General features: G+C 36.6%; 1 protein-coding gene across 3 annotated transcripts in view; it reads left to right on the forward strand.

Annotated features, from left to right (window-relative positions):
- The window catches only part of ENPP3 (ectonucleotide pyrophosphatase/phosphodiesterase 3), a 110,109-nt gene that overhangs the window by 22,762 nt on the left and 74,270 nt on the right, over positions 1-13,077 (forward strand). For all 3 annotated transcript variants that reach the window (NR_133007.2, NM_005021.5, XM_017010932.2), the window contains one exon: positions 11,185-11,264. Coding sequence is in view for 2 of the 3 variants with exons in the window: in NM_005021.5 (NP_005012.2) it covers positions 11,185-11,264 (80 nt within the window). In the remaining variant the exon portion in view is untranslated. The remainder of the gene's footprint in view (positions 1-11,184; positions 11,265-13,077) is intronic.

The raw sequence follows: 13,077 nt of genomic DNA on the forward strand, positions 1-13,077 counted from the left end.
ATGATCAGCTAGGCCTACCTAGGCAAAATAGGGCTGTTAGTTTCTCAGAGGCCTGATTAAGAATAGATGTGGTAGGTAGGGGTACATATTCTCAGGACCACCTGAGGCTGTTTTGAGGGAAAATTGAAAAAGGAGAGATGTGGTTAAATAGGATTAGGATTATGTTAGTCTTGAGGTGAGGTATGTGACAGCAGGCCTTGCTATTAAGGGAGCCCAGGGCCCCATCTCTAGGGTTTCATCAAACTGCCTGAGTTGGGCCACCATGGTCATGTAAACTGAGCCTAAACAATATCACAGAGCAGTGAGTCATATTAGTGACTGTTAAGTGGACGAGGAAGTGGCTCTCTGAATCACACTCTAATGAGGCAAGAACATTGTCTTGTCTTAGTGCAGGTGGCAGCAGACAAAGAAGGGCCAGGGCCAAGATCAGGAAACTGTCAAGTGGGATAGAGGTGATTTGGCCTATTTAGAAGACAGCCTTCCTGAAAAGTTAGATGGGAATCTGTGGATCAAATAAGACTAGAAGTAGCAGGTAGACAGCAGAGATCCAGCAGGGGACATATGCAGAGTTTTAGAGATTAGAGTTTGCAAGGTTGGCATTCATGAACAGCAGAGCTCTTATACTGGCCATAGCAGATGTCATTTGCTGTCTGCTTTTTAAATTTTGTTAAGAATGCATAACATGAGATCTATCCTCTTAACAGATTTTTCAGTGTACAATGCAGTATTATTATCTATAGGCATAATGTTGTACAGCAGATCCCTAGAATTTACTTATTTTATAAAACTGAAACTTCATATCCATTGATTAACGATTCCACATTTCCCCCTTACCCAGCCCCTGGAATCCACCATCCTATTCTTTGCTTCTATGATTTTAACTATTTTAGATAACCTCATATAAGTGGAATCATACAGTATTAGCGTGTCTGTGACTAGCTTATTTCACTTAGTATGTCTTCAAGTTTCATCCATGTTATCACATGTTGCAAGATTTTCCTCTTTTATTAAGGCCAAATAATATTCCATTGTATGTATATGCCACCTTAAAAATCTATTTATCTTTTAAAGAGAAATAGATTGTTACCACATCTTGGCTCTTATGAGTAGTGCTTCAGTGAACATGGGAGTGCTAATATCTCTTTGAGATCCTGATTTCAACCCTTTTGGATACTCAAAAGTGGAATTGCTGGATCATATACTTTTATTTTTACGTTTTTGAGAAACCTCCATGCCATTTTCCATAGCAGCTATGCCGTTTTGCCTTTCTACCAACAGTGTACAAGAGTTCCAATTTCTGCATATCTTCATCAACACCTGTTTTTGGGGTTTTTTTGATACTAGATATCCTAACAGATGTGACGTGCTATCTCATTTTTAAATTTTTATTTTTAATTATTGTTATTATGTTAGAGATGAGGTCTTGCTATGTTGCCCAGGCTGGCCTCAAACTCCTGGGCTCAAGTGATCCTCCCATCTCAGCCTCCCAAAGTGCTGATTACAGGTGTGAGCCACTGTGCCCAGCCTCATTTTGGTTTGATATGCATTTTTCTGATGATTAGTGACATTGAGCATCTTTCATACACCTATTGGATATTTGTATGTCTTTAGAGATGCACAATATCTTTCTTCTTTGAAGAAATATCTATTTAGGTCATTAGCTCATTTTTTAATGAGACTATTGTATTTTTTGCTATCAAGTTGTAGAAGTTCCTTATATATTTTCGAAATTAACTTCCTATCAGATACATGGTTTGAAAGTGTTTTCCCCCATTTCATATGTTGCCTTTTCATTTTATTGATTGTTTCCTTTTCTGTGCAGAAACTTTTTGGTTTGATATAGTCCTACATGTCCATTTTTGCTTTTATTGCCTGGGCTTTTGGCATCATGTTCATGAAATCATTGCCAAGACCAATGTCATGCAGATTTTCCCGTATGTTTCCTTCTAGAAGATTTATAGTTTCAGGTCTTACTTTGAAATCTTTAATATACTTTGAGTTGATTTTTGTGTATGGTATAAGATCAGAGTTCAAGTTCATTTTTCTGCATATGGATATCCACTTTCTGACATCATTTGTTGGAGCAACTATTATTTCCCCATTGTGTATTCTTCTTGGCACCCTTTTTGAAGATCGGTTGACCATATAGGCTTGGATTTATTGATTTATTTCTGAGATCTCTATTCTTTTTTTTTTTCTGAGATAGGGTCTCACTCTGTCACCCAGGCTAGAGTGTGATGGTGTGATCTCAGCTCACTGCCACCTCTGCCTCCCAGGCTTAAGCAATCCCCTCAGCCTCCTAAGTAGTTGAGACTACAGGCACTGCATGCCACCATGACTGGCTAATTTTTGTATTTTTGTACAGATGGCATTTTGCCATGTTGTCCAGGCTGGTCTTGAACTACTGAGCTCAAGCTTGCCTTGGCCTCTCAAAGTGCTGGGATTACAGGTGTGAGCCACTGTGCCCAGCCTGGGCTCCCTATTCTTTTTCATTGGTCTATACATCTGTTTTTATGCCAGTAACATGCTGTTTTAATTACTGAAGATTTTTAATATATTTTGAAATCAGGAGCTTTGATGTCTTCAGCTTTGTTCTTTTTCAAGATTGTCGTGGTTATCTGGGGTGTTATGAATTTAATTTTTTTTCTATTTCTGTAATAAATGTCATTGGGGTTTTGATAAAGATTACATTGAATCTATAGATTGTTTTGGGTAATAGGAACATTTTAACAATATTAAGTCTTCCAGTCCATGAACATGAGGTGTCTTTCCATTTGTTTATACGTCTTCCTTAACTTCTTTTCCCAATATTTTATAGTTTTCATATACAAGTCTTTCACTTTCTTAGTTAAATTTATTTCTAAGAATTTCATTATTTTCAATGTTTAGAAATGAGATTGAATAGTTAATTATTAGTACATAGAAATGCAACTGATTTTTGTATGTTGATTTTGTATCCTGCAATTTTACTGCATTTATTAGTTCTAAATAAATTTATTTAGAGCTTTCAGTATATTTAGAGCTTCAGTAGATAGTATCATGTCTTCTGAAAATAGGGACAGGTTTACTTCTTTCTTTCCTATGTGGTTGCCTTTTTTTTTTTTCTTGCCTAATTGCTCAGGCTAGAAGAGTGGACAGTCTTGCTTTGTTACTGATCTTAGGTGGAAAAATTTTCACCATTGAATAGGATGTTAGCTGTAGACTTTTCATATAATCTTTATTATGTTGAAGTATTTTTTTTCTATAGCTATGTGCCACATAACAACATTTCAATCAACAACAGACTGCATATATAATGGCGGTCCCATACATTATAATGGAGTTGAGAAATTCCCATCACCAGCTGGGCATGGTTGCTTATATCTGCAATCCTAGCACTTCAGAAGGCCAAGGAAGGAGGATTGCTTGAGCCAAGGAATTCAAGATCAGCCTGAGCAACAAAGTGAAACCCTGTCTCTACCAAAAAAAAAAAAAAAAAAAAGTAGCTAAGCACAATGGGGTGTGCCAGTAGTCCCAGCTACTCAAGAGACTGAGGCAGAAGGATCCCTTGAGCCTAGGAGTTCAAGGTTGCAGTAAGCTATGATCACACCACTGCACTCCATCCTGGGTAACAGAGCGAGTTCTTGTCTCAAAAAAAAAAAAAAATCCTATCACCTAGTGATGTCATAGAAATTATAATGTCATAGTGCAATGCATTATTCATATTTTTGTGGTGATGCTGGTGAAGACAAACCTACTGCACTGCCAGTCATAAAATAGTACACATATTTATGTACATTACATCATACTTGATAATGATAATAAATGACTGTTACTGGTTTATGTATTTACTATACTATACTCTTTTCAAAAGAGATGGGGTCTTGCTATGTTGCCCAGGCTGGCTCAAACTCCTGGGCTCAGGCGATCCTCCCACCTTGGCCTTCCAAAGTGCCTTCCAAAGTGCTTGGCCACTGTGCCAAGCTTATACTATACTTATACTTTGTACATTATTTTAGAGTGTACTACTACTTATTTAAAAATGTTAACTATAAAACAGCCTCAGGCAGGTTTTTCAGGAGGTATTTCAGAAGAAGGTACTGTTATCATAGAAGATGACAGCTCTATGCATATTATTGCCCCTGAAGACCTTTCAGTAGGGCAAGAGGTGGAGGTAGAAGACAGTGATGTTGATGATCTTGACCCCATGTAGGTGTGGGCTAATGTGTGAGTTTGTATCTTAGTTTTTGACAGAAACATTTAAAAAGTAAAAACAAAAAATTAAAAAACAAAAGCTTATAGAATAAAGATATAAAGAAAATATTTTTTACAACTGTGCAATGTGTTTGTGTTTTAAACTCAGTGTTATTACAAGAGAGTCAAAGAGTTAAAAAAATTAAAAGTTATTAAAGTAGAAAAGTTACAGTAAGCTAAGGTTAATTGATTATTGAAAAAAATACATTTTTGTAAGTTTAGTGTATCCTAAGTGTACAGTGTTTATCAAGTCTATAGTAGTTTACAGTAGTGTCCTAGATTTTCACATTCACTCACCACTCACTCACTGACTTACTCAGAGCAACTTCCAGGCTTGCAATCATGATAAGTGGTCTGTATTATATCATATTTTCACTGTACATTTTCTATATTTAGATAGATAGGGATAAATATACAATTACCACTGTGTTACAATTGCTTACAGTATTGAATAGGATAACATGCTGTACAGATTTGTACAATAGACTTTACTATATAGCCTAGGTGCACAGTAGGCTTTACCATCTAGGTTTGCTTAAGTACACCATATTATGTTTGCACAATGATGGAATTGTCTAACAACACATTTCTAGGAATGTATCCCTGTCTTTAAGCAATGCGTGACTGACTGTATTCCTAGTTTGTTGAGAGCTTTTATCATGAAAGGGTGTTGAATTTTATCAAATGCTCTTTCTGCTTCTATTGAAATGATCATGTAATTTTTATCCCTCATTCTGTTAATGCTATATATCACATTAATTGATTTTCATGTGTTGAACCATCCTTGCACCCCAGGGATAAATCCCACATGATCATGGTGTATAATCTTTTCATTGTGTTGTTGAATTTGGTTTGCTAGTATTTTGTTGAATATTTTTGCATCTATTTTCATCAGGAATATTAACCTGAAATTATATTTTATTGTGATATCTGTGTAGCTTTTATATTAGGGTAATGCTAGCCTTATTCATTTGAAAGCATTCTCTTGGTCTTCAGTTTTTTGGAAGAGTTTGAGAAGAATTGGCATTAGTTCTTCAAATTTTTGGTAAAGAAATTGTCAGTGAAGCCATCTGGTCCTGGTCTTTTTCTTGGGAGGATTTTAATTATTGATTCAATCTCCTTACTGTTTATAGATTTATTCGGACTTTCTATTTATTTAAGATTCAGTCTTGGTACATTGTATGTTTCTATGAATTTATCCATTTCTAGTAGGTTATTCAGTTTGTTGGCATATAATTATTCATAGTATTCTCTTAAGAACCTTTTATATCTGCAGTATCAATTGTAATGTCTCCTCTTTCTGATTTTATTTATTTGAGTTTTCTCTCTTTTTCTTGGTCTAGTTAAAAGTATGTCAATTTTGTTTATCTTTTCGAAGAACCAACTCTTAGTTTCATTGATTTATTCTATTGTTTCTCCATTCTCTATTTCATTTCTTCTTGCATCTTTTCTTTTTTCTGCTAAACTTGGATTTAGTTTGTTCCTTTTTCTGTTCCTTAAGGTGCAAAATTAAATTGTTTATTTGAAATTGTTCTTCTTTCTTAATGTAGGCATTTATTACTATAACTTCCATCTTAGAGCTGCTTTTGCTGCATTCCATTTTCATGTTCGTTCATTTTGTTTCAAGATATTTTCTAATTTCTCCTTTGATTTCTTCTTTGACCCATTGGTTGTTCAAAAGTGTGTTACATAATTTCTACATTATTTGTAAATTTTTCAGTTTTCCCTGTAATATAGATTTCTAGTGTTATTCCATTGTAGTTGGAGAAAATACTTGGTATGATCCCAATTTTTTAAATATGTTAAGACTTGTTCTGTGATCTAATATGTGATCTATCCTGGAGAATGTTCCATGCATACTTGAGAAAAACATGTTGTGTTGGGTTTAATGTTCTGTAAGGGTTCTGCTTTAAAAAAAAAACCTGCTGATAGTTTTATAGGGCTTCTCTTGTATATTGTGAGTTGCTTTTATTTTGCTGCTTTGAAAATTCATTGTCTTTGACTTTTGACATTTGATTATAATATGTCTTAGTGTGGATTTCTTTAGGTTCATCTTATTTAGAATCCTTCAAGCTTCCTGGATCTGGTTGCCCATTTTTCCTCCCTAGATTTGGGAGTTTTTAGCCATTATTTCTTTCTATAAACTTTCTGGTTCTTTCTCTTTTTCTTCTCCGGAAAACCCCATCATGCATATATTAATCCACATGTTGGTGTCCCACAGTTCTCTTAATCTTTCATCACTTCTTTCCATTCTTTTTTCTTTTTGCTCCTTTGCCTGAATAATTTTTAAAGGCCTGAGTTTGCCTCTCTTTGTTGAAATTCTCACTTTATTCATGCATTGTTCTCATCACCTCAACGAGCATCTTTATGACAGTTGTTTTGAAATGTCTGTTAGGAAAATTGTATCTCTGCTTCATTCAGGTCAATTCCTGAAGATTTATCTTGTTCCTTTGCTTTGAACATATTTCCCCATTTACTCATTTTCCTTTACTCTCTGTGTTGACATCTGCACGTTGGACAAAACAGTCACCTTTCTCAGTTTTCATGGACCGGCCTCGTATAGGAGAAACCCTCGCCAGTTGGCCTGATCAGCGATTCTGGAGGCCCCTTAAACCTTCATGCTAGTCCAGCCTTGTTTCTTTGTTGTTAGGGGCCCCAAGTGTCTAGAGTATGCTAGGTCCCATTGGTGTTCCAAGATGAGTGAAACTTATCTTGGAAGGAAGCCAGCTCCTTGGGCAGTCACCAGAGAATTTGGATCATTAGATGTCTTGTCCAATTCTTTCTCTCCCCAGAGAAAAGTTGGGGTCTGGATTTTGTTTTGTTTTGGTCGTGGGGCTTTTTTTTTCTTCTTTATTTTGCTTTTTTTCTCTGTGCTGTGCCAGGGAGAGGGACTATGGTGACTAATATGCTACATCAAACCGGTGTGTTTTTTTCTCACTGGCCCCCAGGTGACTAGAGTATGCTAGGTTCCATTAGCGCTCCAATACAGACAAGACAGAAAAAGCCAGTCCTTTGGGCAGTCCCTGGTAAAGTTGGGGCATTGGACACTTAGTGCAACTCTTCCTCCCCTGGGAGAAGCTGGGAGTTGGGGTTATTGCCTGATTTCTCTGTGCTGAGCCAAGAGCAGAAGCTGTGGTGAGTGCCTGTGTGCTCGTTAGAATCTCCTCTTTGTTCTTTGTAGCACACAGGGGACTAATAGATGTTGGGTCTCATCTCTTCTAACTCAAGTGAGTTAGAAGCCAATTTCTCAGATAGCACCTGGAAAAATTGGAGTGTTAGATGTGTGGTCCAATTTTTTCCCCCTTGGGGAGAAACTAAAAGTTGAGAGTTCTCTCCTGATCATATAGCATCGTTCTGGGAATGGGTATTATGTCAAAGAAACAGTTCTGCTTTTCCTACTGGTTTCGATGTAACTGGTGTTATACTTGCCTGGTAAGCAGGAGCCTCTCAAGTAGTTTCTGGGTTTCTCACAAAGGGAATTGATTTATGTGTGGCTATTGAATGATTGTGTCTGCTGTGGGAAGAGTCGTCCAAGATTTCCTATTCTGTTATCTTGGTAACATCACTCCTCTTTGCTCTCTTTTGACCCTTCTTCTTTATGTGCCAAGGGATTGAATGCATACTTGCAACTCTGGGAAGACTGAAGCCCCTGCAGAGCTTATTATTCTTTATTTTTTTTGAGTGCTAGAAATGATACAGGCCAACATTATGGCTAATCTTTCTACAAGGTTATTCTACTAAGTTACATATAAAATGAAAGTACCTATTTTCAGCCTGTGAATACTGGTAAACAGTTTGCTATGTTTTCCATTTGTACAGATATCTTAATAATATTTCATTATGCCAGTCTTATAAGAATTTCATAAGGACTACATTGTAGTTTTTTTTTGAGTCGGAGTCTCGCTCTGCGTTTTTTTTTTTTTTTTTTTTTTTTGAGATGGAGTCTTGCTCTGTCGCCGAGGCTGGAGCACAGTGGCACGATCTCAGCTCACTGTAACCTCCGCTTCTCGGGTTCCAGTGATTCTCCTGTCTCGCCCCCCCCTGAGGATCTGGGATTACAGGCACGCGCCACTGCACTGGGCTAATTTTTGTATTTTTATTAGAGCCAGGGTTTCACCATGTTGGCCAGGCTGGTCTTGAACTCCTGACCTCAGGAGATCCGTCCGCCTCAGCCTCCCAAAATCCTGGGATTACAGACGTGAGCACCGTGCCCGGCCTACATTGCAGTTTTGATCTGTACATTCTCTGGTTGCTTTACCTACTCACCTGTTTAGACCTTTGCTGCTTCTTATAGTTCCTAGTTACTATAAACCTAGTTGCATAGGCTTATCTCATTTATATTTTCAGATTATTTTGTTTAGTACTTTATTTTTTTAATTGTTTTTTTAGAAGTAAAATACACACGTAAACATTTTAAGGCAATATTCGAGGGTATAAGTAAAAATAAATGAACAAAACATCTTTCCTGGTCTTCCTACTTTTCCTTTGCAAAAGCAACTGCTCATTGGTTTATTGCGTGTCTTTCCAGTAGTCTGTTCAAGTATAACTTAAATTATTCATATTTGGAAGAAACCATGGTAGAAGACTGTGCTTTCTGTAGACTTTCTTCAGTAGCTGTGGTTCAAGGGCAGGTAATACAAAACGGTAGCTTGGGTCTATAGTCAGCAGATGTGTCTTGTTTATGACATATAACTAGGACGGTGCCATGCTTTTACAATACCGGTAGCTTAATTTGCATTTTATTTTATCCTCTAGCTTTACCCATTTAAGAATTTGAGTCTGCCACCCGTTTCAAGGATATTAAAGCAGAAACTGACTTTATGTATCTGTTCATTGTATGAATTTTTTCCCACTTAAATTATTTTAATTGTGTAAGTGGACTAGATCTTATTTTATTTTCTTGTTATATGACTTCTTAACAATATTAAATGTCTTTCCTTAATTGAGATCAAGATTTACTTATTGGTGGTATTGATTAAATAAGAAAAATAAAGGTTATTTTAATCTTATGTTTTATAAATTAAGTCCTGGAGCAGTTCTCAAACTTAAATACATTAGGATGACCTGGGCTGCTTGTTAAGAATGTAAATTTTTAGCCAGGCACAGGGGCTTACATCTATAATCCCAGCACTTTGGGAGGGTGAGGCAGGTGGATCACTTGAGGCAAGGAGATCGAGACAAGCCTGGCTAACATAACAAAACTCCATCTCTACTAAAAAATACAAAAATTACCTGGGCGTGGTGGCAGGCACCTGTAGTCCCAGCTACTCGGGAGGCTGAACTCAGGAGGCAGAAGTTGCAGTGAGCCGAGATCACGCCACTGCACTCTAGCCTGGGTGACAGAGCGAGACTCCATCTCAAAAAAAAAAAAAAAAAAAAAAAAGAAAGAAAGAAGGAAAAGTAGATTTTTTTTGAACTCCCTTTCCTTCTCCTACCTTCCAATCCCCATCAGAGAATCCTATGTAGTGGACTTGATATGGGGCCCTAGAAGTTTCTGAAGGAGGAAATTCCTGAATCAGAGGCTGGGAAGGAGACCAACCCCATGTCTATTTGAGAAAACACTCATTGTGTTCAGCAGCAAAGCCTGTGACTTTTTGGATGACAATTAATTTCATGTTTTGTTTTGACTTAAAGAGAATTGATAACGGTGAAGCTTTATTTTAGAAGTAGAGGCAACACAATTTTGCTGTGGAAAATTTCTTGTACTTCACTGCTGCAGAGGAAATAGCAATGTGCCCTAGTGGTTCTGACCTCTTTAAACAGGGTTATTGCACAGATTGAAAACAACAGAACAATGAAGCTAAATTGCTGTCATACTTTGTGAAACACAGATCACAGGAAACTTCCCTGGTCTAATGGAAACTGTACTAAAAGTAAGAAGCAGTAAAGTTAGCTTAATTTGTAAACAGTACTACATGACATGGGCTTATGCAGTTACACAAGTGAAATCCTTTTTCATTTGTCTAGACAGTAGTGTTGACTTTTGTTATATTAGATACTTTACATGTAAGAACTATCAGCTAGATGCCAATGCTATATAAAGCAAACAAACTGGCAGTGTATAATATAGAGTACATTTAGCTCAGGGGTCAACAGGCTGTGGCCCATAGGCCAAAACTGGTTCACTCTACTCGTTTGTGTATGGCCTGCCATATATACTGAGAATTGTTTTACTTATTTTAAAAATTATTTATTTATTTATTTATTTATTTGAAACAGGGTTTCATTCTGTCACCCAGGCTGAAGTGCAGTGGTGCGATGACAGCTCACTGCCGTCTCCATCTCCTGAGCTCAAACAATCCTCCCACCTCAGCCTCCCGAGTAGCTAGGACTACACAGGTGCATGCCACCATGCCCAGCTAATTTTTAATTTTTATACAGAAATGGGGTTTCATTGTGTTGCTCAGGTTGGCCTCAAACTCTTGAGCTCAAGTGATCTGCCGTCTCAGCCTCCCAAAGTGCTGAGATTACAGGTGTGAGCCTCTGGGCCTAGTCTGTTTTACATTTTTAAATGGTTGGAAGAAAGTAAGAATATTTTATGACACGTAAAAATTACCTGAAATGCAAATTTCAATGTCCATAAAGAAAGTTTTATTGGAACATGACCATATTCATTTGTTTATTTATTGTCTATGGATGCTTTGGGGCCTCAATGGCAGAGTGGAGGTGTTTCAACAAAGACCATATAGCTTTGCAAAGCCCAACATGTGTATCACTGGCTCTTCCAGAAAAAAATCTATACACCTTGATTTAGCTCACTCCTCTCCTAAAAGACTGACATTCCCTGGAATGGAGGAAGCTTAGAGACCAGAATTTCAACCTCTTTCCATCTTTAATCCACTTTTTAGTTTGTTTTTTATTTTTCTGAGAGACTTTCATGTTCAGATTTTTAGTTATCCAAAAAACTGAAGAAGAAACAACTTCCTAATTTCTCACCATATTCTGTTGCAGAAACATGTGGAATTCATTCAAAATACATGAGAGCTATGTATCCTACCAAAACCTTCCCAAATCATTACACCATTGTCACGGTAAGTGCTTGACCCAGTGGTAAGACAGGCCAAAGACCAGAACTGACCACATAAACAGACATGTTTGGGCAGGAACTGACCGAGTTCTGTGACTTACCCTTCTGAAGCACATGGGGGGATAGTTCATGGCTGAATTCAGGCTGTGAAGGAATGGCTCAATATGAGGCCAGTCCAGGGCTGTGAGGAATGAACTATGAATAAGTGTCCAGCATTAGGTTAATTCACCTGTGTCGAGCCAAAAACAGACCCTTTGATGTGAGAAATACCATTTTCCTCTGATCTTTCGATTGCCCTTTGTTTATCTGAGGGTCTGCTGGGAACAGTAGGCTATATATAGGGACAACTACTTTGATGTGGGAAATTTTGTTCTTTCCTAGTCTTTTCATTACAATTAACTTGATAGAACTTCTTTTTCATAAATGAATTCACACTGTCTACATCTCTTTAGATAAAGCAATAAAAGCAAGTGATATAAAAAAGATGTAGGTAGAATGTGTGAAAAGTGTATAAAAAGATGTAGGTAGAATGATTAAAATGAGCTCAAATAAAAATTAAATTATTTAAGATAGATAGATTTATAACACATTTTAAGGCATCGGCTGCCTCAAAGGATATTTGTGTCTTCATTACTTTGAGTTTTAATCTTTTATTACTATGGAACAGTAACTATGACATTTACATTTTAACCCCCACACAAATGTATGTATGTATTCTCATTACTTGCAGATTCTGTATTTGTGGGTTTGCTTACTCACTAAAATTTATTTGTAACCCCCAAATCAATAAGTATAGTGCATTTGTGGTCATTTGCAGCCATCACAAAGAAGCACAAAAAGTTGAGTTGCCCAATGCTTATATTCCTAGCTAAGGTCTAACCAGGAGACATTCTGCTTTCTTGTTTTAGCTGTCATACTATAAACAAGTACCATTTTCACAATCTCACTGTCTATTGAATGCCATACTTTTTATATTCTCATGCTTTTTTGGGGGTGATTTCACTGGTTAAAATTGTCCCCTTGCATAGTGCTGATGTGGTTTCTGGTGTTCCTAAGAGCAAGAAGGCTATGAATTGCCTTACAGAGGAAATATGTGTGTTAGGTAAACTTTGCTGAGGTATGAGTGATAGTGAACCAACAATATACATAAATAATGTGACTTTAAACAAAAACACTCATAAAAGAAGGTTATGTGTTGATCAGAAGACAAAAATGTCGTAATCAGAGGCTCTCAGGAACCTAACTCTCTATTTTTCCTAGGAGCAATGGTTCAGTAATCATTAATTTAGTGTTCATGACAACTTTATAGAATATAACTACTACGAATAATAATAATTGACTATATATACATAAATATATACCATATATACATATATGTATACATAAAATAGGGATTATGCACAAATGCAATTAATTTACTATTTATATATTTTTATACATATATATGCATATATATTCATATACATAAAAATGTTCTAAAATAATGACCCTAAAATCTATAGGCATTTAATGAAAATGTGTGGAATGATTAAATAAATATGTGGGATTGGATTAAATAAATGATTGGATGGATAGGTGGGTGGATGGCAGGGAAGATGGATAGAGACTTGGCAGGCTGCCTTTAAAATGCTGGTAGCACCCTTTAATTCAATTTAGCCAGGATATTTGATATACAGAAAGCTTCTATCTAGTAAATTCCTTGCTATTATTGATAATATAACCAGTGGCTAACCATTATTCTAATATGGGAAACTTTAACAAACAGTTAATTAAACAGTTATTAAGCACACAAAAGTTATATTAACACCATCAGCACA

This window comes from Homo sapiens, chromosome 6 (genome assembly GCF_000001405.40).
Source record: "Homo sapiens chromosome 6, GRCh38.p14 Primary Assembly".
NCBI classification, from domain to species: Eukaryota; Metazoa; Chordata; class Mammalia; order Primates; family Hominidae; genus Homo; species Homo sapiens.